Genomic DNA, 27693 nt, shown 5'->3' with positions numbered 1-27693 from the left:
TTGCACATAAAGGTTTAATCTGTATTTGCCGAATAAAAGTCAGTCTCTCTCAGTGTTTGTTCTTATTGTATATTCCACTGTGAGGGTTTTTGTTTCATATATGGAATTCACTAATATCAGTTTTAGGGAGTGGGAATATTGACATACATGGTATTTAAGAGATATTATGGTTTCTCACTTTTCAAAGTTTCTAGGCAAAATTTAGTTTTGTCTTCTGCTTACTTGCTAGGTATGAAACCAAACGCATGAGTCATTTATTGTTTTAGCCCAGATTTTAAACTAGGTGAAATGGAAAGAGAAAAATAATAATGGCATTTGATAGAAATTTAACAATATTTTTTTCTTCCTTGCACTCAAAAAATGTTTTGTGTATATGGCTGAGTGCCTGATAATCTGTCCTTCATTTATGTCAGGGCCTCAGTAAAATGTTTACTTAGAAGTTAAAAATAACTTCATCATTGGTTGACTCCCCCAGTGAATGTCAAGCACTGTGCTGGGCACTCCTAATGTAAGCTGTTTTAAAAATTGTAATAGGACTAAGAGGAAGAATGAACATATTATGCCACTCTTATATGGATGAGGAAACCGCTGGTGGGATAGGTGGAGTGATTTACCTAATCACAACACTTAGAAATGGCAGAGTCAGGTTCCAATCCTGGTTTTCATAATTGCTGGTTGTAGGATTATAATAACTTTGCTAATTGATCTAGTCAAAGTTTTGGAAAGATGGCAGCATTAGCTTTACTTAGCAGTCTAACAGAGTGTCTTAAATTGCTTTAACATTGTTTAGTAGCATGTGCTTTTAACGACTATGAATCTGTGGTTTATAGGGCATAAGGATAAAGCTGAAATCTGGTCCAGGAGAAGTACTAGTCATGTTTAATGGTTTTGAGGTATTAGACTACAAAGCAACAATAATAAACTTTCACCCAGCTGCTCGTAGTGAGGCTTATAGGCTTAGCTCATTCCTCCTTCGTAGTAAAAGTCAGTGAAGATTTTGAACACAGGAAACTGTAGCCCCGATTTAGGTCTGTTCTTCCCTTAAAGCTCCCTCATGTACCTCATAAGAAAGTATTAGGGAAAGAGCTTTATAAAGATATCGAAGGAGAGGAGTCTGTCAACATTGTTATTTAGACATAATATTTGTGTCTCAATGTGGAGACTTAAGTGTGTTAATATTTAGATTGCATTTTTCCTAGAGGATTAATAGTAATTTCTGCATTCACAGGCAGGTTCATAGGCCACTTGACACAGTGAGTGGCCTCTTAAATCTCTCGTTACTCTACCATGTCTGGCTGTGTGGTGTCTTTCTCCTGACGACTTGGTATGTCTCATGGATACTCTTCAAAATCTATGCCACAGAGGTATGTTTTTTAAAATATTTTTTCTTAATACTTTTGTGTTTTGGAGTGCACAGTTGATTTTTAGCAGAGCACACTGATCAGCACACGCAAAACCATTTCCGTAAGCTGGTTTTTGGTCTCTCTTCTGAGACTCTTGGGGCCATATCATTTGTAACCACCATTTATGTGGTATTTTTTTTCAGAGGAACAGTGTGGATATTCACTTAATTTTTGGAGATTAAACTGAATGGACTGCCACTATGCTTTATTGACATCCTAGTTGTCTTCTGGGGGCTTCCATTTCTCTACTGAGTACATACTAAATGGACTTGAATTTTAAATTAATTTTCCATGTCATTGGCATAGCTACTATTAAAATATTTAAATATGTGGCAGTAAGAATTTTTTTTTTTTTTTTTTTTTTTTTTTTGAGATAGGGTCTCGCTCTGTCACCCAGGCTGGAGGGCAGTGGCCTGATCTTGGCTCACTGCAACGTCTGCCTCCCAGGTTCAAGTGATTCTCCCACCTCAGCTTCCCGAGTAGCTGGGACTACAGGCGTGTGCCACCATGCCCGGCTAATTTTTTTTGAATTTTAGTAGAGACAGGGTTTCACCATGTTGGCCAGGTTGGTGCCGAACTCCTGACCTCAAAATGATCTGTCCTCGACCTCTTAAAGTGCTGGGATTACAGGTGTGAGCCACTCCACCCAGCCAAGATATTTGTTTTCTGAAGGGAAGTTTTAAAATTTATATTAAAGAAATGATTTTGGAAATTGAGGTGAGCTTCTGGATAATTCCCACAGAAATCTTTTTAAGTGATTGAGAATTACATTGTTTTTATCATCCAAGTGTTTGTCTTAGAAAATTAGTGTTTCTGTTTTATTTTACAATCTCCGTAGGTTTGTATTCTTCAGTGGCTTCAGAGAATCCTTGTTTGTGAAAGTGGTTTTTATTATTCAGAGACAGAGTCTAATAAAGTTGGGAAAGTAACATTAAAAAAAATGGTGTGTTTGGGTTTATGTAACTTTAACCTGTCTTTGCAAGGAGCACGAAAGATGTCAGTTTGCTTGTGCTGTCTGTCTTTATGTTTTAATTTGTGCATGCTTATTGAATGTAAGATCATGAAAATAATCATTTTTGGTTTTTAATTTATTTGATAGGCTCATGTGTTTCCTGTTCAACCACCATTTGCAGAAGGGTCAGATGAGTGCCTTCCAAAAGTGTTAAATAGCAATCCTCCCCCCATCATAAAGGTATCCAAACTGTGTTGCATATCTTCACACAGTTTTCTCTAACTTTATTCAATACACTTAATATTTAGTATATTTAAGTAGTTGTATTTTTTGAGGGCCTATAATATTCTTGTACTGGTATGATAAAAATCACCTACTTGCTAATGCTGTTTATTTTTTCAATTTTCTTTCCAAGTGACTAAAATGCAAGTGCACAGTACAGTGTATGTGTATAAGCTAGTTAATTCTATATTCAGAAACAGATATAAGAATATTTCCAAGCATAAAATACAGTGATATGCAATCATCTACATTAACTTCTCACAAACTATTCATGATAGCATAACAAAATATTATTGATTTTTTTTTTTTGAGACGGAGTCTCGCTCTGTCGCCCAGGCTGGAGTGCAGTGGCGCGATCTCGGCTCACTGCAAGCTCCGCCTCCCGGGTTCACGCCATTCTCCTGCCTCAGCCTCCCGTGTAGCTGGGATTACAGGCGCCCGCTACCACGCCCGGCTAATTTTTTGTATTTTTAGTAGAGACGGGGTTTCACCGTGTTAGCCAGGATGGTCTCGATCTCCTGACCTCGTGATCCACCCGCCTCGGCCTCCCAAAGTGCTGGGATTACAGGCGTGAGCCACCGCGCCCGGCCAATATTATTGATTTTTTAATCACTGGATCAAAACATTTTTACTCTTGTAGTATTAGTTGGCTTTTGTGATCAAAAATAGCGCTTAGAAATGTATAGATATTTAGTGAACTCTCCTTAAATATGAATTGCTGGTAATGACCCTAAAACTAATTACAATCAAGAATTTAAAGAAGTTGTAGTAATTTTACAAATCAATCTAAGTAAGCATAAATGGTTTAGATTGAATTTGCAAGTTGAAATTTTAAACTAGATCTACAGTATGTGTGATCCTGTTAAAAGGTCCTTTAAAAAGAGCTAAAAGAGGCTGTGTGTGGTCTTCAGCACTTTGGGAGGCCGAGGTGAGAGGATCACTTGAGCCCAGGAGTTCAAGACCAGCTTGGAAAACATAGGGAGACCTCATCTCAACAAAAATTTAAAAATTAGTTGAATGGCATGGTGGCACATGCCTGTGGTCCCAGCTACTTGAGAGGTGGAGGCAATTGCATTCCTTGAGCCTAAGAGTTGGAGGCTGCAGTGAGCTGTGACCCTGCCACTGCACTCTAGCCTGCCACTGCACTTTAGCCTGGGTGGCAGAGTGAGACCCCATCTCTAAACAAACAAACAGAAATGCTAAAAGAAAGTAGTTAGAACCCAGTTTTGATCACACTCTAAAGAATTTATAAACAAATAAGAAAATAAATAGAATTACTTTTAAATATTAATTATAACTAATTTGTTAGAGAAACTTAAAAGTATCAGTTACTCATTTGGTTACTCACCAAATATTTATTTAGTGGTACGTCAGTCTCTGCTAGTTGTTTGTGGTAGAATGATGAATAAGACATAGCACAGCCTAGTAGAAAATACAGACGCCCAAAATAACTAAAATGTACTGTGGCAAATACATTGGGACCTCTTATTCAGCTTGGGACCAATGCAAGAAAACTTCAGAGAGGGATGGTATCTTGAAGGATGAGTAAAGGGGTTTGCCTGGGAAAAGATGAAGATTTTCAGTAAAGAAAAAAAAAAAATAGGGTGGCCGGGCATGGTGGCTCATGCCTGTAATCCCAGCACTTTGGGAGGCCAAGGCAGGTGGATCACTTGAGGTCAGGAGTTTGAGAACAACCTGGCCAACATGGTGAAACCCCATCTCTACTAAAAATACAGAAATCAGTTGAGTGTGCTGGTGTGTGCCTGTTGTCCCAGCCACTCGGGAGGCTGAGGCAGGAGAATTGCTTGAACCCGTAAGGCGGAGGTAGCAGTGAGCCGAGATCACATCACTGCACTCCAGCCTGGGCAACAGAGTGAGACTTTGTCTCAAAAAAAGGAAAAAAAAAATTAGGTATCACGTGCTAGGCACTGCCTTTGGATATGGTAGCAAGTAAGATTTTCCGTTTTCTTGTGGGCCGCACAGTTTGGTGGGTGGAATCAGATGGGACAAGTAAACATTCAATTACAATACATGATGTTAGTGCCATTGTTGAGAGCTATGTGAGTGTATGTTTGTGTGAGGGAAACCAGGGAAAATTCCAGGAGGAAGTGATGTTTCAATTTCCCACCGCAGATATATGAAAGAGCACAGAGAATTCTGTAGTTCCTTGTAGCTAGAACTTGTAGTAGGTAGGGAGGGTAGAGGCAGGAAAGTTCTGGAAGTCTAGAAAGGAAGGTTATGGTTCTGAGATTTTTTTTTTCATGAAAAAGTTTAATTAATTTCCTCTTGGATATATAATGATGAACCCAATTAGTGAGATTTTATGTAGAGGTTAAAAAAAATTAAATAATATGTGTTTTTTCCCCCTGTTAGTATTTAGCCTTGCAGGACCTGATGTTGCTTTCTCAATATTCTCCTTCACGAAGACAAGAAGTTTTCAGCCTCAGCCAACCAGGTATTGCTAAAAGTAATAGACTTGATTAGGCATATGTGTGTAGAAAGTAATTCACTTGGCCAGGCATGGTGGCTCAAGCCTGTAATCCCAGCACTTTGGGAGGCCGAGGCAGGCGGATCATGAGGTCAGGAGATCAAGACCATCCTGGCTAACACGGTGAAACCCTGTCTCTACTAAAGATACAAAAAATTAGCCGGGCGTGGTGGCGGGCGCCTGTAGTCCCAGCTGCTGGAAAGGCTGAGGCGGGAGAATGGCGTGAGCCTGGGAGGCGGAGCTTGCAGTGAGCCGAGATTGCGCTACTGCACTCCAGCCTGGGTGACAGAGTGAGACTCCGTCTCAAAAAGAAAAAAAAAATTAATTAACTTAAAGTTTTTGGTGAGAAAGATGTATTTAATAAAATATCAGATGTCAATGAGTCCATTAAATGAAGTATTGAATTAAATCTTACACAGCTTAAGAGTTTATTACCTTCAGCTCCTTCATTTCCTTAACCTGAAGAAATTATTTAGTACACTGACAATTTTAGGGCAGAAAAATACAGCTTAAGAATTCTAAAAGTTTGGCTGGGCGTGGTGGCTCACCCCTGTAATCCTAGCACTTTGGGAGGCCAAGGTGGGTGGATTACTTGAGCTTAGGAATTCGAGACCAGCCTGGGCAACATGATGAGACCGCTCTTCTACAAAAAATACAAAAAATTAGCCCAGCATGGTAGCATGTGCCTGTAGTCGCAGCTACTTGAGGAGCTGAGCTGGGAGGATTGCTTGAGCCCAGGAGGTTGATACTGCAGTAAGCCAAGATTGTGCCACTGTACTCTAGCCTGGGTGACAAAGTGAGAGCCTGTCCCCCTCCCCACCCCAAAAAAGAATTCTAAAACTTTTAATGCTACAAAGGATCTTAAAAATTAGGTGGTCTACTCTCTAGATGGGAGATTTAAGTCTCAGAGATTGGCTTAAATAAAGTTAATGTCAGAATTGGAATAAGAGTCCTGTCATTTGGCTCCATGTACAGGACTCCTCCTTCTGCTATGCTACTCTGCCTCCTTTTAAAAAAAAATTAGGAAGAAACTAGATTCAATGGTGACTCAAGGATGCTCTCAGCAACTCTGAAACACTTACAGTGTATACTGTTCTTGCCATGCTGTTCAAGACTGTGACTTTGCCAGTTCTCTGTTGTTCCTAGAGGGAAAACAGTCCAGTCCCAGGCACTGGTGGGAAACAGAGAACCTGGGTAGCCTTTCTTCTGTATTTTAAGAGACAGGGTCTCACTGTATCACCAGGCTGGAGTACAGTGTCATGATCACAGCTCACTGTAACCTCGAACTGCTGGGCTCATATGATCCTCTCGCCTCAGCCTTTCAAGTAGCTGGTATTATAGGGGCATACCAGGTGTGCACCACCACACCTGGCTAATTTTTAAAAATTTTTGTTGAAACAGGGTCTTGCCGTGTTTCCCAGGCTGGCCTTGAACTCCTGGGGTCAAGCAGTTCTCCTGCTTTGGCCTCCCAAAGTGTTAGAATTACAGGTGTGAGCCAGTACACTCAACCAGCTTTTCATCTTTTTTTTAATGATTTCTTCATTAGTTTGCCAAGCTTGCCAATTACCAGATAAAATACCAGATAATAAACCTTCTATAGTTAAATGTTATATGGAAATGAAATCCAGTTATATAAAAATGTAATTGACTGGAACCACTCTCCTTTTAGTAACATGAGAAACCCAGAGCTGATACTGTGGAAAATTAACTATAACAATGCTTTTCTATCAGATTTGAGTTAACATAGGAATTCTATACTCTAAATGTTTTTTACCAGATATTCAAGTAAACCGTAAAAGGGTGGCATTTGCTCTGCCAGAGAGTGTACATTCTAGCACATAAAAAAAATTTAATTGGATGGACGCAGCTCACGTCTGTAATCCCAGCACTTTGGGAGGCTGAGGCGGGAGGATCATCTGAGGTCAGGAGTTTCAACATGGTGAAACCCTGTCTCTACTAAAAATACAAAAATTAGCTGGGCATGGTGTTGCACACCTATAATCCCAGCTACTCGGGAGGCTGAGGCAGGAGAATTGCTTGAACCCCAGAGGCAGAGGTTGCAGTGAGCTGAGATCCTGCCACTGCACTCCAGCCTGGGCAACATAGCAAGATTCCATCACAAAAACAAACAAAAATTTAATTGGATGGTTACACAGTTCCTCATGTACCCAAATTACAGTAGTACAAAACATCCTGAGGCCTAGTGATAGAGTATTGTGTGTGTGTGTTTGTAGGTTAAGTGGTATTCCTGAGTTTTACAATGGGGGGAGTGTTTAAGGAGAGATCCAAGTGAAGAGGGAATGATCATTTGGCACATAGGATAGAGAAACCAGTTTTCAGTAGACTTCTCTGCTATTAACGCATAATGGAGCATGCTTGATTTTTATATAATAACTCTAGGCGACAAAGATCTACTATGAGAAATAAGGGAATTTTTAAAGGAATGGGGACACAGTAGTTTAAGTTAAATAATAAGATAATCTGTAAGCTCTCTGAGTGTAAAGTGTGATCATTATTAACGAGTCATTCCCACAGATGTAACAGCAAATAGGGGCTGTTATATACATGAAAATGTAAGGAAGCCCAGGGGGTCAGACGCAAAAGTTTAGAGGTCACTGGGGACCATGGAGGTGCATCTCACTGGACATCGTAGTGTTCATTGTCTTAGTTCATTGTTCACAGTCATAGCAGTCTGTTTAATACTGCTAGTGAAGTAACCCTGGTCTTTCTCGCTCAACCTATGATCTAGTGTTTGGCTTTATTTTAGCGACCAATTTGAGAGGTTTTTTGTTTTTTTTTTTTTTTGGTATGTGTGTGGTAAAATAGCAAGTTTTTGCTTGTAGACTTTTGGGAAACTTAATTCATCCAAGTATTCATTGAACTCCTGCTGTGTATTAGATGTCATGAGTATAAATAGTAGCTTCACTAAGAAAAGTGGGTCCTGATGCCAAGCATAATGTAGAATTTCTTACTGACTTTTTCCCCCACTTCAAGAGGGGAATGTAAGATTATTTACATTTTAAAAGCTGGTGTTTGGACCTCCTAGGTGGACATCCCCACAATTGGACAGCCATTTCAAGGGAGTGTTTGAATCTTTTAAATGGTATGACTCAGAAACTGATTCTCTATCAAGAAGCTGCTGCTACGAATGGGAGAGTGTCTTCATCTTACCCAGTGGAACCTAAGAAATTAAATTCTCCAGGTAATCCCTAGGACTACTAAGAGGGGAAAACATTTACATTTTATTTCCTAAGAAAGATGACTGTAGTAGACTGGGCGCTGTGGCTCACGCCTGTTATCCCCGCACTTTGGGAGGCCGAGGTGGGCGGATCATGAGGTCAAGAGATCGAGACCATCCTGACCCACATGGTGAAACTCTGTCTCTACTAAAAATACAAAAATTAGCTGGGCGTGGTGGCGTGCACCTGTAGTCCCAGCTACTCAGGAGGCTGAGGCAGGAGAACCAGGGAGGCGGAGTTTGCAGTGAGCTGAGATTGTGCCATTGCACTCCAGCCTGGCGACAGAGTGAGACTGTCTCAAAAAAAAAAAAAAAAAAAAAAAAGATGACTGTAGTTAATTGAAGGATACTTATATGAGTGTGAGGTGTATATTTTTAGGGAAAATTGATCCAACATATAGCATCTTATATTGAACCAAGAAAATGACGTGGGTATCATTGTAGATTGAAAAAATTAAGCCCAAAACATCACGTTGTACACTCTAAGTATATGCAGTTTTTCATTGGTTAATTTGAAACAAATTAAGTTCAGTGTGGTGGTAGCATTAAAAACACTACCAAAATGATGGCTATTAAATAGGAGACTTCAGCTTACTCTAGCACAAAGCCAGGTGAATTTTTGCAGACAATATCTGTTGCTGTTCTGGTTGCAGTAGTCCAGAGACAAAAAGTTGCTGTCCCAGAGAAGAGCAGCTGAGACGACTGGGTGATTTGGAAGTGGGGCATAATGTTAGTACCCCTTCCATTTAAAAGACAAAAGCTGAGAGGAAGAAGTAGAGGTGGAGGAACCTGTCTTGTTCACCAAATCCCTTAGGTAGAAGACACCTATGAATGTAAGACTGATAAAAGGACTTAATGTTCCATGTGTTTTGGAGCCAGGCATTTAGTGAAAATGGATGAAACTGGCTGGGTGAGGATGGTGGTGAACCTGTGAGCACAGGCTTCCTCTGAAGGGGGAAGCTGTTGGTTAGCCCTGCTTCATTGTTCCCATATGGGACTTTGGATCCCATATGTGAACTTCCGGTCTTTTTAAAAAAGAGAAGCCTGAAATCTAAACAAATTTTGAGGTGAAATCTTTCAGTTGTTAAACATTGGCAACTAATCTTGATATTTAAAAATCACTATATAGATCAAAGCAAACTCATCTAGTTTCAAAATCAGTACTCTGGTGGGGTCATAGCCCCAAAACAAATAGATTACATATGAAAAATGATTTAAATAAATTAACACACATCAGATTTTGAAAGGTTTGAGAGTGTTTCAGATGTTATCAGCTTTCAGATCAGCATTCCTCTATTCAACAAATACTTATTGAATTCCTACTGCATACCAAACAATGTGCTAGAAGCCAGGGAATCACAGATGGAAAACACTCTTGGATCTGACCTTTTAGTGGAAGGCACACAAATAATGATACAATATAACTGCCAAAAGGAAATCTGTCCAAAAGGAGTCCGACTGGATAAGATGATGTTTGATAATGAAAGGAAGCCTTGTTTGCAACAAAAAAAGTTTAGATTTTATTCTATAGAGATATGGAGCCATTGGAGAATTTTGAATAGGCTAGTTCCATCAAATTAGCGTTGGAAAGATCATTGTAATTCTGGGTTGGGTAGATCATGAGTCTGACCAAATATGGAGCATTCATTATTGTAAGTTTTTGTCATATACCATCACTCAGCCAAAATTTGTCTCATATTTTGAAGAATAATTGTAAAACTCTTAAAAACTCCAGTCTTAATTTTTAAATTGATTTTTCAAAGATTTCTAATTTCCATTAACCTTTAAAAAGTCATATAATGGGCCAGGTGTGGTGGCTTACACCTGTAATTCCAGCACTTTGGGAGGCCGAAGCAGGTGGATCATTTGAGGTCAGGAGTTTGAGACCAGCCTGGCCAATATGGCGAAACGCCGTCTTTACTAAAAATATAAAAATTAGCTGGCTGTGGTGTTGCACACTTATAGTCCCAGCAACTCAGGAGGCTGAGGCAGGAGAATTGCTTGAACTCGGGAGGTGGAGGTTGCAGTGAGCTGAGATCATGCCACTGCACTCCAGTCTGGGTGACAGAGTGAGACTCCTTCTTAAGGAGAAAAAAAAAAAAAAAGAAAAGTCATATAATGAAAATTTGGTACTTGGGATGTTTAATTTCTTATATTTCTTATGGTGGTTTTATTAAGAAGATGGAATCCAGCTGGGCGAGGTGGCTCACATCTGTAATTCCAGCATTTTGGGAGGCCGAGGTGGGCGGATCATGAGGTCAGGAGGTCAAAACCATCTGGCCAACATGGTGAAACCCTGTCTCTACTAAAAATACAAAAATTAGCTGGATGTGGTTGTGCATGCCTGTTATCCTAGCTACTCGGGAGGCTGAGGCAGGAGATTTCACTTGAACCAGGGAGTCGGAGGTTGCAGTGAGCCAAGATTGCGCCATAGCACTCCAGCCTGGCCACAGAGTGAGACTCTATCTCAAAATAATAATAATAATAATAATAATAATAATAATAATAATAATAATAAAAAGAAGATGGAATCCTAATGCAATGTGTTTGTTTTTGTGGCTTGTGCTGGAGTGACAAGAAAAGTTCCTTTTGTTTTTGTATAACAGACTCTATTACTAAATTGGAGAGTCATAAGATGACTTTTGAAAAAGCTGTTTACAGATCAGATTTATAGATATTCTGGGCAAATTAGCCTTTGGTGTGACTTTTGTTAACTTGAAAGAACTTTCAGGCCAGGTGTGGTGGCTCATGCCTATAATTCTAGCACTTTGGGAGGCCAGTGCAGGAGGATTACTTGAGCCCAGGAGTTCAAGACCAACCTGGGAAACATGGCGAATCTGTCTCTACAAAAAATAAAAAAATTAGCCAGGCATGGTAGTATGTGCCTGTGTCCTAGCTACTCAGGAAGCTGAGGTGGGAGGATCGCTGGAGCCCCAGAAGTTGAGGCTGCAGTGAGCCGAGATTACACCACTGCACTCCAATCTGGGCTACAGAGCAAGATCCTGACTCAAAGAAAAGAAAAGGAAAGAAAAAGAAAAGGAAAGGAAAAAACTGGGGAAAATGGGGTAAGGTTAATATTTTTTTCCTGTATATGTTCACAATATAGATTTGGTATGTTCAGTCAAGTAATACTTAAAATAGTAATGCAGTAAAACTGGATAGATTCTAATGCAGTAATTAAAATTGCCAATTAGAAATAAAATGTGAATTGATGAGTTCATTCAAAATTGCTTAGAGTTAGATAAATTGACGTTGAAGATGAAGATATTCATGGGGGGGGAAAAAGAGAGACTATATCGATCTGACAGAAGAAGATGTATAAAGCTCTTTGAGTGGAGCTTGAATGCAGTAGTAAAATCGAATCTTGAGACTATAATCATAAATGGAAACAATCTACTGAGCTTTGGGTAAATGCGTTAAACAAAAATTTGGTATGTGTAGAATTTGAAAGCGTTGCTGCTAGCCTGCTTGGATCAGGTTGCCTCTTCAGCACTGGATCTGTTGTTTTACAGAAGAAACTGCTTTTCAGACACCAAAATCTAGCCAGATGCCTCGGCCTTCAGTGCCACCATTAGTTAAAACATCACTGTTTTCTTCAAAATTATCTACACCTGATGTTGTGAGCCCATTTGGGACCCCATTTGGCTCTAGTGTAATGAATCGGATGGCTGGAATTTTTGATGTAAACACCTGCTATGGGTCACCGCAAAGTCCTCAGCTAATAAGAAGGGGGCCAAGATTGTGGACATCAGCTTCTGGTGAGAATTATATATTTTTTAAGATTTTAAATGTCATGTTGCAGAGGATCAGACAGCCTAAGTTCTTATCTTGCCTTTTCTTTTTTAAAAATAGATCAGCAAATGACTGAATTTTCTAATCCTTCTCCATCTACCTCTATTAGTGCTGAGGGTAAGACAATGAGACAACCCAGTGTGATTTATTCATGGATTCAGAATAAACGTGAACAGGTAGGATGATATGGTTATAGGATTTATATTTGCATGTAAAATTGAGAACATTAAGGATCTCACATGAGTAAGTCATCAGGAATAAGAAGCTTTTTTTTTTTTTTTTTTATGCTTCGTGTATTGACTCAAATGAAACAGCCAATATTTGACTGGTTTGAGCTATACACATTGTAATTTCATATGACTTGACCTGATAACTTCATGTAAGAAATATTTGAGTTCTTTATATATCCAAGGTGTGCTTTTAGGCACTGGGAAAAAAGCAAACAAAACAGAGTCCTTGCCCATGTAATATTTACATTCGAGTGAGGGGAAATCAGTGAGTAAGCAAATGTATTATATTCTGTTTCTCTGAAATATAAAATATCATTAATTATAAGACTTATGTGCTATTAAGAAAAAAGATGCCTTAACCCATGACGTGCTATTGACTGTAAGATGCATCTCAACAGGTCATATTCAAGATATGGAAAACATGCATAAGAAGGAAGAAATTTGATATAAGTCTTAACTAGAAAAACAGAGCAAGGAAGACAGAGAGTTCCTAAGGGAGAGGGTATCATTTTATGTGGAGTGATAAGGGGAAGTCTCATTGATAAGGCAATGATTGATCAGAGACCTGAAGGGAGAGCTGGGAGCAGCCCAGTGCATCTGAGATGGGAATGGCCTTGGCTTGTGTGAAGAACAATGTGGATACCAGTGTGGCTGGAGCAGAGTGAGTGAGGGGAGAGTGGTAAGTGGGTGATAAGATCAGAAAGGTAGCAGGCACCCAGGGCTCATTGGCTGTAGTAAAGACTGGCTTCATCTCTGAGTGGGATGGAAAGTCACCGTATGGTCTTGCCCACAAGAATGATATGATGTAACTTATATTTTGAAAGTGCTGCTCTAGGGGCTGTGTTGGGACTAAACTCTTGCAAGGTAGGCATGTAAGCCCAGAGACGGTGTTAAGGTGTTAAGTAATCTAGTGGGAGATGGTGGTATCTGGGACCAGAGTGGTAGTGGTGGGGGCTGTAAGATGTGGTCAAGGTCTAGGTATGTATTTTAAGTTAGATGGAATAGGATTAGCTTATGGTTTGGTTGTGGTGTATACTAGAAAGAGTCAGTGTTCACTGGTAAGGTTTTTGGCCTGAAGATCTGGAATAATATAGTTGCAATTTATTGAGTTGGAATTTACTGATGATTCTGGAGAAGGAGATTTGATAGAGGTGAGGGGAGGGAAATCAGGAGTTTGATTTTGGACAAGCCAATTTTGAGATACCTATGAGACAACCAGGTGAAAATACTTAGTAAGAAATTAGGCATATAGCGGTAGTGTAGGGGAAAGTTCTGGGCTAGAAATGTAACTTTGGAAGTTTTCAGAGTATAGATAGTATTCAAAGCATGAGACTCGATGCAAACTCTTGAATGTAAATACAGAAGAAAAGAGATATCCAAGAAAGGGGCCCTCCAATGGCTAAAAGTTTGGGAGATAAAGAATAGCAACAGAGACTGAGGTGGGTAGAAATCCAAGAAAAGAAAGAGTTTCAAGGAGGAGAAGGTGGGAGTGTCAGATGCTGCTGATGGGTAGCATGGGGCGGGAACTAAGAATTAACTGTTGAGCTAGAAATGCGGAGGTCACTGAGTCCTTGACAAGAGCTGTTGGCTGGAGTAGTGGGGACAAAAAAATGCATGAGTTCAGGAGAGATTGGTAGACGAATTGGAGACCACAAGAAAAACCACATTTTTCAAGGAATTTGTTGTAAGTGGAACAGAAAAATGGGGCAATAGCTGGGAGGAATTGAGGGGTCAAGGAACTTTTTTAAAAATTTTGAGATGGGTTCTTGGTCTGTCTGTTGCTCAGGCTGGAGTGCAGTGGTATGATCATGGCTACACTGCAGCCTTGAACTCCCGGGCTCAAGTGATCCTCCCACCTCAGCCTCCTGAGTAGCTGGGACTACAGGTGCCTGCCACCATGCCTGCCTAATTTTTTTAATTTTTATTTTTTGTAGAGACACAGTCTCTATGTTGCCCAGGCTGATCTCAAACTCTTGGCCTCAAGCAGTCATCCTGCCTGAGCCTCATAAAGTGTTGGAATTACAGGCGCGAGCCACCACGCCCAGTCATGTTTTTATTTTTTAAGATGGGAGAAATTATAACATGTTTGCTGATGGAATGACTGATTAATAGGGAATGAATGGTTAAAGGCATTTCATAAACTTCGGGATCCCATACGGCTCTATATGCCATTAGTACTGCCGTGTCACTTTCTACCCAACCAGACACGTGCTGCTTGCTGCAGCCTTCTGACTAGTCATGCAGCTTTGGGTGAGAGTATGGTAGGAGCAGATTCACTTTTAAGTTAGTTGGGTTAGCTTTTAGCTGATACTAAGAACACTTTTTCCCCCGGAATTGTCAACTAGTAGAAAACTACTTTGTGTCTTAAGATATTTTTTTTCCTGTAATCTCAGCACTTTGGGATGCCACAGTGGGAACATTGCTTGAGCCCGGGAATTCGAGACCAGCATGGGCAACATGGCAAAACCCCATCTCTACTAAAAATACAAAAATTAGCTGGGTGTGGTGGTGCATTCCTGTAGTCCTAGCTACTTGGGAGGCTGAGGTAGGAGAATCACCTGAGCCCAGAAAGCAGAGGTTGCAGTGAGCTATGAATGTGCCACTGCACTCCAGCATGGGTGATAGAGTGAGACCCTGTCTCAAAAAAAAAAAGATTTTTTTTTCCCTGTGAGAGAAACATACTCTTTTTTTGGGTATTAAAAGGTTAAAGGGCAGGACAGTTATAGAGAATCGAGAAATAATGTGGCCTTGAAAAATATCTCCAGTCTGTAATCCTAGCACTTTGGGAGGCTGAGGTGAGAGGATTGCTTGAGTCCAGGAGTTTGAGACCAGCCTGGGCAAGATGGTGAGACCCTGTCTGTACAAAAACATTTAAAAATTAACCGGACATGGTGGTGTGCCTGTATTCCCAGCTACCCAGGAGGCTGAGGTGGGAGGATCTGTTGAGCCCAGAAATTTGAGGTGGCAGTAAGCTGTGATCATAAAACTGCACTCCAGCCTAGGTGACAAAGCGAGACCCTGTTTCTGAAATAAAAAAGAAAAAAGAAAAAAGAAAAAAATTTCACCAAAACCACTTAGAATTAATTAATTTTTTTTTATGTCAGGGCTCTAATTTGGGGGTTAAACGTGTATACATGGGAATACAGTTTAGTTGGCTCATCTTGGTTGTCCAATTTGTAGCACAAAGGTATTTAGTTACATGGCGTATTGTTTAAGTATTATTATTCTTTGCCCACAAGATGTGAAGTGTTTCATTTTTTCATTTAAGTTACTGTCTGGAAGAACTAGGAAATGTGTTATATTTGAATAGAATTTAAAAGGTAAATGTGTTAATTCTTCCTTTTTTCCAACTCAGATTAAGAATTTCTTGTCAAAACGGGTGCTGATAATGTATTTTTTCAGTAAGGTAAGAATATGTGGTTATAGCGTTGGGAATGGGGAGGGAGGAAATGAAATATGAAATAAAGTAGCAGATAGGATCTGACTTGTAAATATTTTATAGCTTAATCCTAGCAAGCTAGGCAGCTTTGCATAGTGCTTCACTGAACCTCCGTTTTAACAATAGTTGCCCTAGACACACATCTCACTTCAGTGGCTTCTGAAGCTTGACTCTCTAGTTGCCTCTCGTATCTCTTGGCTGCTGGCAGCTTTGTGCTGATAGGCAACACAGACCCCTTCCTGCTGTCTGGATCTTCACAAAGTGAACACATTTGTGTGGCTATCTGGTGCTTCTTGGCTCACGTCCTGCTAGCGTCTTTGTGACCATTTTGGTGTTCAAAAGAGAGATGATGATATCACAGATGTTAAATTTATGATGAATAAAAAATTATAATTCAGACCACACATGAAATGACTTCCCAACTTGTGTATCAGCTGTTCCAGCTGCCACAGGAGAGTAAATCTCAGTTGTAGAAGCTAAAGATTGATTCCTGTTTTTGCTGGCTACGACTGTTGTGTCTCTATTTAATCCTTTGATGTGCAAAACCTTTGCCCCTATGTAGGGGAAAGAATTTTTGTTTTTAGCTTTTAAAATCTAGCCTCTCTTTCTGCAGATATTGCAGTATTATCTAATATCACGCTCACTCCATTAATACCTTCAAGTGAAAGTTTATATTGGCATCTGTTATATTTATTATTTCGGAGTCATACTCTGGTGGAAAAGAGGTCTGAGCAACCCTGATAGAATATAGATAACGCATAACAGTCATTTCAGGGGCTTGAAACTGCTTTTCCACTATGGTGGAAGGGACGATCCACCCAACTAGCCATTACCTTTACCAAAAAATAATCCACCCTGGTCTGCCCATTAGAGGAAGGTGTCTTGTCTTCCACCAAAAGGAAGAGGGGTTGTCTGAAGTTTTACTTCAGTGCTTGGTTTCAAAAGAAGGGGAAAGGCCGGGCATGGTGGCTCACACCTGTAATCCCAGCACTTTTGGAGGCCAAGGCGGGCGGATCACGAGGTCAGGAGATCAAGACCATCCTGGCTAACACGGTGAAACCCTGTCTCTACTAAAAATACAAAAAATTAGCCAGGCGCAGTGGTGGGCGCCTGTGGTCCCAGCTACTCGGGAGGCTGAGGCAGGAGAATGGCATGAACCCGGGAGGCGGAGCTTGCAGTGAGCCGAGATAGAGCCACTGGAGTCCGGCCTGGGTGAAAGAGCGAGACGCCGTCTCAAAAAAAAAAAAAAGAAGAAGGGGAAAATAACTCACTATGAGTGTCTTATGTGTGCCATACTCTGTTTTCGCTTCAGTTCCCTCATTTAATTCTAACAGCATTCCTGTGAGATATGTCTTTTTATCCTCATTTTACAGATAAGGAAACCTGAGGCTCAGAGGAGTCATATAGTTAGCCTAAGGGCACAGAGACAGTAAGTGGCAGACCACATGGTGACCAAGATCTCCTGTTTTCTTGAAAGTGAAAGGCTAATTTTCATCCCAGTTTTGCAAGTGGGTCTATTATATGATAAATTATAGACACTGCTGCTATTTGATGTTAAAAAATGTAACTTAATAGACTTGTTGTATGGTACTTAGTAGGCTTCATTGGGTACATAACCAAAGACAGCATTTGTTCAAATGGACCAGTTGTTCCACACTATTCCATGGTGGTACGTTAAAGAAGGGTAGGCAGCATGAAATTGTGTCATTTACAGCAACATGGATAGAATTGGACATCATAATCTTTTTTTTTTTTTTTTTCAGACGGAGTCTCGCTCTGTCGCCCAGGCTGGAGTGCGGTGGCGCGATCTGGGCTCACTGCAAGCTCGGGCTCACTGCAAGCTCCGCCTCCCAAGTTCACGCCATTCTCCTGCCTCAGCCTCCTGAGTAGTTGGGACTACAGGCACCTGCCACCACGCCTGGCTAATTTTTTGTATTTTTAGTAGAGACGGAGTTTTAGCGTGTTAGCCAGGATGGTCTCGATCTCCTGACCGCGTGAGCCACCTCGCCTGGCCGGACATCACAATCTTAAGTGAAATAAGTCAGGCACAAAAAAATAAATATTGCACGTTCTTACTTACGTATAGAAGCTAAAACATTTGATCACATGGGAGTAGAGTGGAAAGATAACAGAGACTGGGAAGGATGGGTAGAGGGTAGGAGGAGGATGGAGAGAAGTAGGTTAAAGGGTACAAATATACAGTTAGAAGGAATAAATCCAATGTTTGATACCAGAGTAGGATGATTACAGTTAACAAAAACATATTATACTCAGGTGATAGGATACCCAAAATGCCGTGACTTGATCATCATGCATTATATACGTGTAACAAAATTTCACATGTACTCCATAAATTTGTGCAAATAAAAACATTTTTTACGTGAAGGTTAGGCGGTTTTTCTTTGAGTGGGGTTGAGGGTAGACAATTTAAAAGAGATAACAAGTAGGCAGTTTTGTTGTTGTTGTTGTTGTTGTTTATTTATTTATTTGAGACGAAGTCTTGCTCTGTCGCCCAGGCTGGAGTGCAGTGGCATGATCTCGACTCACTGCAACCTCTGCCTCCCGGGTTCAAGCGATTCTCCCACTGCAGCCTCCCAAGTAGCTGGGACTACAGGCGTGCGCCACCACATAGGCTAATTTTTTGTATTTTTAGTAGAGACGGAGTTTTACCACGTTGACCAGGCTGGTCTCAAACTCCTGACCTCAGGTTATTGGCCCTCCTCAGCCTCCCAAAGTGCTGGGATTACCAGCGTGAGCCACCGCGCCCAGCCAATTTTTTTATTTTTATTTTTTATTTTATTTATTTTGGTTTTTTGGGGTTTTTTTTTTTGAGACAGAGTTTTGCTCTTGTCGCCTAGGCTGGAGTGCAGTGGCGTGATCTCAGCTCATTACAACCTCTGCCTCCCGGGTTCAAGTGATTCTCCTGCCTCAGCCTCCCAAGTAGCTGGGACTACAGGCACGTGCCACCATGCCCAGCTAATTTTTCTATTTTTAGTGGAGACAGGGTTTCGCCATGTTGGCCAGGCTGGTCTCGAACTCCTGACCTCAGGTGATCCACCCACCTCATCGTCCCAAAGTGCTGGGATTACATGCGTGAGCCACCACTTCCAGCTATCCCAGGCTGGAATGCACTGGTATGATCTTGGCTCGCTGCAATCTCGACCTCCTGGATTCAAGCAATTCTCCTGCCTCAGCCACCCAAATAGCTGGGACTCTAGGTGCATGCCACCACACCTAGCTAATTTTTGTATTTTAGTAGAGATGGGGTTTCAGCATGTTGGCCAGGCTGGTCTCAAACTCCTCATCTCAAATGATCTACCCACCTCGGCCTCCCAAAGTGCTAGGATTACGGGCATGAGCCACCACGCCTAGCCAAAATTTTTTTTTTTTTTTTTTGAGATGGAGTTTCACTCTTGTTGCCCAGGCTGGAGTGCAATGGCGCGATCTCAGCTCACTGCAACCTCTGCCTCCCAGGTTCAAGTGATTATCCTGCCTCAGCTTCCTGAGTAGCTGGGATTACAGGCACCTGCCACCACGCCCAGCTAATTTTTTGTATTTTTAGTAGAGACAGGGTTTCACTATATTGGCCAGGCTGGTCTCGAACTCCTGACCTTGGCCTCCCAAAGTGCTGGAATTACAGGCATGAGCCACTGCACCCAGCCCCAGCCAAGTTTTTTAAAAAGAGTTTCTGTAACCATTCTCTTAAGTGATCTCAGAACTGATCTCTGAGGTGGGTTGAGTATATGTAACTTTAAATTGGAAACTGAGACACAGAGATTTAGAGACTTGGCAAGGGCCACACAATGAGTTGATGGTAGAGTGCTTTATTATAGTTAAATGAGTAATTATCAAGTTAAATATAAAAGAATTTATTTTAAATTTTAATTCTTGAGAGGCAGCTGTGAATTTTTTGTTTTGTGGTCTACATATTTAATTAAAGGAAATAATGGAGTTTTTGCTCAGGGGAATTCACTTGAATGTTTTTGTTTTTATTTGTAGCACCCAGAGGCCTCCATTCAGGCTGTTTTTTCAGATGCCCAAATGCATATTTGGGCATTAGAAGGTAAGCAATGACTGTGAACTGTAACTATGATTTTAATTGTCAGTTAAATATTGAAGTATAATTCATGAAAGGTCAGTTCTGGTCCTTGATTTCAGTCTTTGAATGTACAGATTCGTTTTTATATCTTTGTTTTATATAGATCATTTTGAAAAATATATTTAGGCGTATTTTGATTTGGGCACAATTTTTTCTTGTATGTAAGCAGAGAAACTGAGCCTGGGTTCTTTTTTTTTTTGGAGACAGAGTTTTGCTCTGTTGTCCAGGCTGTAGTGCAGTGTTATGAACATGGCTCACTGTATCCTCAACCTTCTGGGCTCAAACAATCCACCTCAGCCTCCTGAGTAGCTGGGGCCACAGTTGCATACCACCACGCCCTGTTAATTTTTGTTTTAAAAACTTTTTTGTGGGCCAGTTGCGGTGGCTCACGCCTGTAATCCCAGCACTTTGGGAGGCAGAGGCAGGTGGATCACCTGAGGTCAGGAGTTCGAGACCAGCCTGGCCAGCATGGTGAAATCCCTTCTCTACTAAAAATACAAAAATTAGCCGGGCATGCTGGCATGTGCCTATAACCCAGCTACTCGGGAGGCTGAGACCAGAGAATCGTTTGAACCCAGGAGGCAGAGGTTGCAGTGAGTTGATATCACACCACTGCACTCCAGCCTGGGTAACAAATAGCGCAACTCCATCTCAAAAAAAAAAATTTTTTTTTTGTAGGGACGAGGTTATCTAGGCTGGTCTCAAACTCCTGGGCTCAAGTGATCTTCCTGCCTTGACCTCCCAAAGTGATGAGATTACAGGTGTGAGCCACCACACTTAGTCTTTTTGTTTGTTTGTTTGAAGAGATGGAGTCTTGCTGTGTCTCCCAAGCTGGAGTTCAATGGCATGATCATAGCTCACTGCAACCTTAAACTCCTGGGCTCATGCAATCCTCCTCCCTCAGCCTCCTGAGTAGTTTGGACTACAGGTGCATGCCACCACGCCCAGCTAAGTTTTATATTTTTTGTATAGAGACAGGGTCTTGCTAAGATGCCCAGGCTGTTGAGCCTGGATTCTTTTATATCTTTCTCTACTTCAAAAAAGTGCAACAGATAGATTGTTTTTAACTTATGTTAACTTATGTTAAATATGAAAACTTAGTTGTTAAAGAGCTGTTTCTTTTCATCTTATAGATACAGCCGTCTCAGTGCTTAAATGTTGCTCAGAGGCCTTTCCTGACCATTCTCTGAATACTGTATGCCCTTACCACATGTTTTTTTTTTTTTTTTTAATTTCCTGGCACATATTATTACGCAACACTATATTATTTTTAAAATTTTCTTCCTAATAGAATGTAAAGCCAGAGACTGTTATTTTATTCATTACTAATGCAATTGAGTACTTTTTTCAGTGCCTATTCCAATTTTTTTGCCCGTTTTTCTATTGAATTGCTCCTCCCTTTATTTATTTATTTATTTATTTATTTATTTATCTATTTATTTATTTTACTTTTTATTTTCGAGACAGTCCCACTCTGTTGCCCAGGCTGGAGTGCAGTGGTGTGATCTTGGCTAACTTCAACCTCTGCCTCCTGGGCTCAAGTAATCCTCCCACCTCAGCCTCTCGAGTAGCTGGGACTATAGGTTTGTGGCACCACACATGGCTAATTTTGTAGAGAGGGGGTTTCACCATGTTGCCCAGGCTCGTCTTGAACTCCTGGGCTCAAGCGATCTGCCTGCCTCAGCCTCCCAGAGTGCTAGGATTACAGGTGTGAGCCACCGTGCCCAGCCTTTATTTCTTTTTATATTCAGAATATTAATCCTTCCTAAAATAGATGTATTTCAAATAGTTTTGCCTAATTTTGATTGACTTTTAACCTTTTTTTTTTTTCCCTTGAGGTCTGTCGCACTTAGTAGCAGCATCATTTACAGAGGATAGATTTGGAGTTGTCCAGACGACACTACCAGCTATCCTTAATACTTTGTTGACACTGCAAGAGGTAAGAAATCTGTGGGTTGGGAGGGGGTAGAGGTCATCTTCCCCTCCCACCCAGTGCTTTGTTTGTTTCCTATATATCACATTTATCGAGTGACAAAACATGTTGGAAGTTAAAATAATGATACTTTTTCACCCTCAGGAAATTACAATCTAAAAGACAGAAAAGATGCTGGTGTGGCTCATGCCTATAATCCTAGCACTTTGGGAGGCTGAGGCTGGAGGGTCGCTTGAGGTGGAGAGTTTGAGATCAGCCTAAGCAACATGGCAAGACTCGGTTTTTACAAAAAATAAAAAATTAGCTGGCCATGGTGGTGTATGCTTGTAGTCCCAGCTACTCAGGAGCCCGAGGTGGGAGGATCGTTGGAGCCAGGAGTTTGAGGCTGCAGTGAGCTACGATTTCACCACTGCACTGCAGCCTGGGTAACAGAGCGAGACCCTGTCTCTATTTTAAAAAACAAAACTAAAAGATAGTTTGGAAGAGAAAACTTTTAATCTGCTTATAAAATTTTACAGAAACAGAAAAAGAAAGTATACTAAACCTGTAGGATATGCCCCTGGTATTAAACACATTGTTTAAAATACTAGACTTCTGTTCACTGACAAAAGTAAATCCTTACACAATTTGTAGCTACCAAAAGTGACCTGTGATTAAATGACCCATGCAGATAAATGCCCTATTGGGTTGAGGCTCAAGAACTGAGGCCAGTAGATGCCTATCACCAGGCTTGATGGCTAGTTTTAGCTAATAGGTTTTCTTGGTCCTAGACTTAAAGAGGAGCAAAAAATAAAACACATGCTTTCTGCTTTGCAGTAGGCTTCTTTTTCTAACTTCATGTTACTTGGTACTTTTTATGTCACCTTATAATATTAGTTACGTGTCACATGACAGCTATAAACACTAAGGGCTGGAGGCATTTAGAGATGGCATCTGGAGGCCGGGTGCAGTGGCTTGTACCTATAATCCCAACACTTTGGGAGGCTGAGGTGAGCAGATCACCTGAGCTCAGGAGTTCAAGACCAGTCTGGGCAACATGGTAAAACCCTATCTCTACAAAAAAATAGAAAAATTAGCTGGGTGCAGTGGTGTGAGCCTGTAGTCCCACCTACTCGGGACGCTGAGGCAGGAGAATCGCTTGAACCCAGGAGGCAGAGGTTATGGTGAGTGGAGATCGTGCCACTGCACTCCAGCCTGGACCACAGAGTGAGACCTTGTCTCAAAAGTAAATAAATAAATAAATAAATAAATAAATGAATAAAAATAGCATCTGGTGTATATAGTAGGCCTTCTGGAGGAAGTGGAATTGAACTAGGCTTAAATGATAACTGGTGCATCTTTTGGTCTTGGGAAACCATTTAAGATATGAAGAGAAGCCTGGGCAACATGATGAAACTCTGTCTCTACAAAAAAGTTTTAAAAAATTAGCGAGGTGTGGTGGTGCGCACCTATAGTCCCAGCTACTTATGAGGCTGACGGGGGAGAACCGCTTGAACCCGGGAGGTAGAGGTTGCAGTGAGCCAAGATTATGCCATTGCACTCCAGCCTGGGTGACAGAGTGAGACCCTGTCTCAAAAAAATAAAAGATAATGAAGAGGAAATATGCTTCTCCATTTCTTTCTTTAACACTCAATTCATTTTACCTATTAGAAAATCTTACCCATCAAAGCCAGTGATTCTTTTGCTTTGAGCACTTTTTGTGAGTACCTTCTCATGTATGTTACTTGAGATGTGTGTGTCTACATGGATAGTTTTATTATTTGTACTCTTTCCCAAGTGCCATTCTGTAAATAAATAGTTTCCTAGCAATTCCCTGCAGCTTCGAATATTTGGTTTATCTGACTGCACAATAGGATGACCATGATTTGGGCATATCTTTGATGGTCATAACATTATTTTTTGTCACTCTGGCAGTGTAGTTAAAACAACAATAATGGTACAGTGTTTATAGTCTAGAGTAATGTGATATCATTATTATTTGATCTTTATAACCATCTTGTGAAGTCAGCAAGGTGGAAGTGTTTTCACCCTTTTTTAATAGATGAGGGAGGCTTAGTAGTACAGTGACTTACCTCAGATCTCACACACAATCTCCTAGGTGGCAGAGCTGGAACTAGAACCCAGTCTGATTGCAGGGCATTAGCAGTGCAGTAGACCCTGGAAAAAGCTACAGATCCACATCCCTCCCCCGCTTTTTTTTTTTTTGAGATTGAGTCTCTGCTCTGTTGCCCAGGCTGGAGTGCAGTGGCGTGATCTCAGCTCACTGCAAGCTCCGTATCCTGGTGTCAAGTGATTCTCCTGCCTCAGCCTCCCGAGTAGCTGGGAGTACAGGCACATGCCACTATGCCCAGCTGATTTATGTTTTTTTTTTTTGAGACAGAGTCTCGCTCTTTCGCCCAGGTTGGAGTGCAGTGGTGTGATCTCAGCTCACTGCAAGCTGTGCCTCCCGGGTTCACACCATTCTCCTGCCTCAGCCTCCTGAGTAGCTGGGACTACAGGTGTCTGCCACCACGCCCAGCTAATTTTTGTATTTTTAGTAGAGACGGGGTTTCACCGTGTTAGCCAGGACGATCTTGATCTCCTGACCTCGTGATCCACCTACCTCGGCCTCCCAAAGTGCTGGGATTATAGGCGTGAGCCACTGCGCCCGGCCTGATTTGTGTATTTTTAGTAGAGATGGGGTTTCACCATGTTGGCCAAGCTGGTCTCAAACTCCTGACCTCAGGTAATCCGCCTGCCTCGGCCTCCCAAAGTGTTGGGATTGCTGCAGGCGTGAGCCACTGCGCCTGGCTTGATCCACATCCCTTATTCTTTCTTCAGAGAGAATGATTCTACCCTTAGAACTGTGGCTTTCAAAGTTTTTGGACTGTGATCTGCAGTGCATTTACATTAGACTCAAAATATAGTGTGTGCGTGTGTGTGTGTGTGTGTGTGTGTGTAGATAACAGAAATAAAGGATTCTTGGAACAGTACTCACCTTTTACTATGTGTAGTGCATTTTAATATTTTTCATTCTATTTCATTTTTTAAAATGCTGGTTAAAACTCACTGAATTGATTTCATAAAGATCACACTGCCTGCCCTAGAGGTATTCTATACCAAAATTACTCTGCTTTTAACTCTACCACCATCAGAATTTCTGGTTCTTCATAGTTGGTTAGAAGGAAAGCAATCTGTTTGATTATAGTCATTCATACCTTTGAGTAGGAAAATAGGAATTACAGATTTGTCAAAAGGTCAAGCCCTGTCTTGCTCTGTTTCATGCTGCTCTAACAGAATACCACAGACTAGGTAATTTATAACGAACAGAAACTTAATTTGGCTCGTGGTCCTAGAGGCTGGGAAGTTCAAGATTAAGGGGCTGCATCTGGTAAGGGCCTTCTTGCGGAATCATAACATGGCAGAAGGGATCACCTGAACAAGAGAGAGCAAGAGATCGAACTCACAGTATTAAACCCCTCTATAATCTGCATTAATTCATTATTGAGAGTGGAGTCCTCCTGACCTAAACACCTCCCATTAGGCCCCATCTCTCAACACTGCTGCATTGGGGATTAAGTTTCCAGCACATGCTTTTGGGTGACAAATTTAAGTCATAGCAGGCCCTATTTACTTAGAAACAGGGGAGTTGGATTGGAGAATACTTTCGAGGGGCAGAGTAGAACGAGGCAAAGAGGCATATTTTTGGATGTTGAGAAAAGATGGAACAAAGAGAACAGGACCAGTGACCTGATACTTAGCTTCTCAGTATAAAACTCCTCCTTATATAAGGCTTATAATGTCTATCTTCCCTTAAGCCACATCATGACCAACCTTTTGGTCATGCTCTGCCATCATCAGATTTTGAAAACTGCCTCATAGTCTTTTTTTTTTCCACTCTACATCCTGAGGTTGATTGTAATGAGTAATTCAGAGTCTGTGTGGGTAATCTGCCCCACACCCTGTCTGCACAATTCTTTGACTTCCTCCTCTTCACTACCCATTTGTATACCCTCTCAACCCACAACTATCACCTAGGCCCAGTTATCCCCTGAGTACTCCACCGCCAGATCTTGAAACTCCAGGATTCTACCCTGTAAGCTAGAGTCTTTAAATGTTTTTGTTCCAAAGATTCCTTTGGCAGTCTGTTGAAGCCCATGGACTTCTCAGAATCATGTTCTTAAATGCATAAAGTGCTTAGGATTAGAAAAAAAATCAGTTATATTGAAATTATCAAGACGTTAAATTTATGATATAGTAATATGTGGTTTTTAATTACTGCATTACATAACAAGATCTGTCAGTGAGTCCAATAACTTATTTTGAGGTAGGGATAAGATGAATGATATTTCAAGATAACTATAACAATCGTATTGGGATATGGAGATGTTGGTGATTTCTGTTGGTGACAAAGTCACAGGAACTACTAATGCTACTATGATTTGTTGCTTACATTCATAGTTGAAGGAAATGCTAGATTTTAATTAGATCTTAGTAAAGATAAATGTGTAATTCAAGTTTGTACCCCCTGAATTTTTCCCTTAGGCCTATGGACCCAATGTAAGAGCCCTTGCTCCAGGCACAGCCGTTTCATGTCCTTGCTGCTTCTGTACAGTTTCTTTGATCCTACCAGGATTTCCAGTTCCTTTTCCCCATGTTCTTTGTCTTTCAGCTCCCTCCTGACTTGCGTATATGCCTTTCTGTGTCCAGTTTAGACCTTGCAGTCTATTATTTCAACCACTTTATTACCAATTCCTTCAACTCCTTTGTCCCCATGTCCTTGAGCTGCACCCATGTGGCAGTTCCATTACCCACCCATTCTCTTGCTGATCCTTCCTGCCTTGCTTCAGGATCTTGGCATTTTTGTCCTGAATTATTACATCCTCTTGCTCCTATGGACTCTCAACTGAGTTACTTCGTGCTCTGATTCCAGCCACTCTGCTATTCCCATGAGTCCTCTGCTCTTATAACTACCATAGACTATTCAGTCTCTGCCTCCCACCAAATATATCTTATTTTCTTAACTTGACTCTAACTGCACATGCTGCCTTTTCTTTCCTTTTTTGTCTAGAACATATTTTTCTCCTTTGGTCTGACTCTACTCTGTAACTCCCCCCTCAACACTTTATTGTCTTTATTGACTTTTATTGTCTCCTCTTCATATTAGCTAGAGTAGAGGTGGGGACTTTGTCTCGCCTCTATTCCCATCATCTGATATAGTACCTGGCAAATGACAGGCACTTATTAAATGCTTGTTGGATGGCTGCTGGATTGCATCATTGCTGGTTCAGTGGACGAAGACTTCTGTTTTGGGGCTTAAATTTAGTGACAGTTCTGATGCAATGGGTTGATTAAAATGCTCCCAAACCATCTTTTTGTTTTGAGAGGCAGGAATGTGATGTGACTCATATGATCCCTGTTATATATTTTTGGCTTTCTGTTCTTTGGTCTAGAAGGGATCAAAGTGAAGAGCGTAAGTTTAAGTATCTCTGTAATTTAAGGCAAGTTGTACATTACTGGCTTCTGGGTGTTACTAAGGAACAATTGTGTGGAACTGTTCTATCCTTTTGTTTTACTTTTCAGTATGAATAACATCAGCCATTTCACTGAATCATTAAAGGCAAAATGTGAAAGGGAAGGGGAGCCTTTCATCCTTCAAAGTATTCAGAGGGCAAGGAGTAGAGTGATGGATATGCTAGCTAGCTCAGTGGTTTCAGCCAGTGGCCAGACCATCCTGGAGATCACTGTTATTATAAGGGACATATGTACTTTCATTTGAATGATTACCATTTCTCCAACATATTTGCAGCTGTTTTCTCAGAGGTTTTTACATGCTGTTTTGGTTAATTAAAATACAA

The 27693-nt window shown here is 41.0% G+C and overlaps 1 protein-coding gene across 4 annotated transcripts in view; it reads left to right on the top strand.

Annotated features, from left to right (window-relative positions):
* The window catches only part of NDC1 (NDC1 transmembrane nucleoporin), a 72819-nt gene that overhangs the window by 29277 nt on the left and 15849 nt on the right, over window positions 1-27693 (top strand). For all 4 annotated transcript variants that reach the window (NR_033142.2, NM_001168551.2, NM_018087.5 and 1 more), the window contains 9 exons: window positions 1229-1364; window positions 2503-2595; window positions 5011-5092; window positions 8172-8327; window positions 11876-12121; window positions 12216-12331; window positions 15741-15791; window positions 19824-19887; window positions 21762-21862. Coding sequence is in view for 3 of the 4 variants with exons in the window: in NM_001168551.2 (NP_001162023.1) it covers window positions 1229-1364; window positions 2503-2595; window positions 5011-5092; window positions 8172-8327; window positions 11876-12121; window positions 12216-12331; window positions 15741-15791; window positions 19824-19887; window positions 21762-21862 (1045 nt within the window). In the remaining variant the exon portion in view is untranslated. The remainder of the gene's footprint in view (window positions 1-1228; window positions 1365-2502; window positions 2596-5010; window positions 5093-8171; window positions 8328-11875; window positions 12122-12215; window positions 12332-15740; window positions 15792-19823; window positions 19888-21761; window positions 21863-27693) is intronic.

Source organism: Homo sapiens, chromosome 1 (assembly GCF_000001405.40).
Source record: "Homo sapiens chromosome 1, GRCh38.p14 Primary Assembly".
Lineage (NCBI taxonomy): Eukaryota > Metazoa > Chordata > Mammalia > Primates > Hominidae > Homo > Homo sapiens.
Note: the sequence above shows the minus strand (reverse complement) of the source record. Positions and strands in the feature narration are given on the sequence as shown.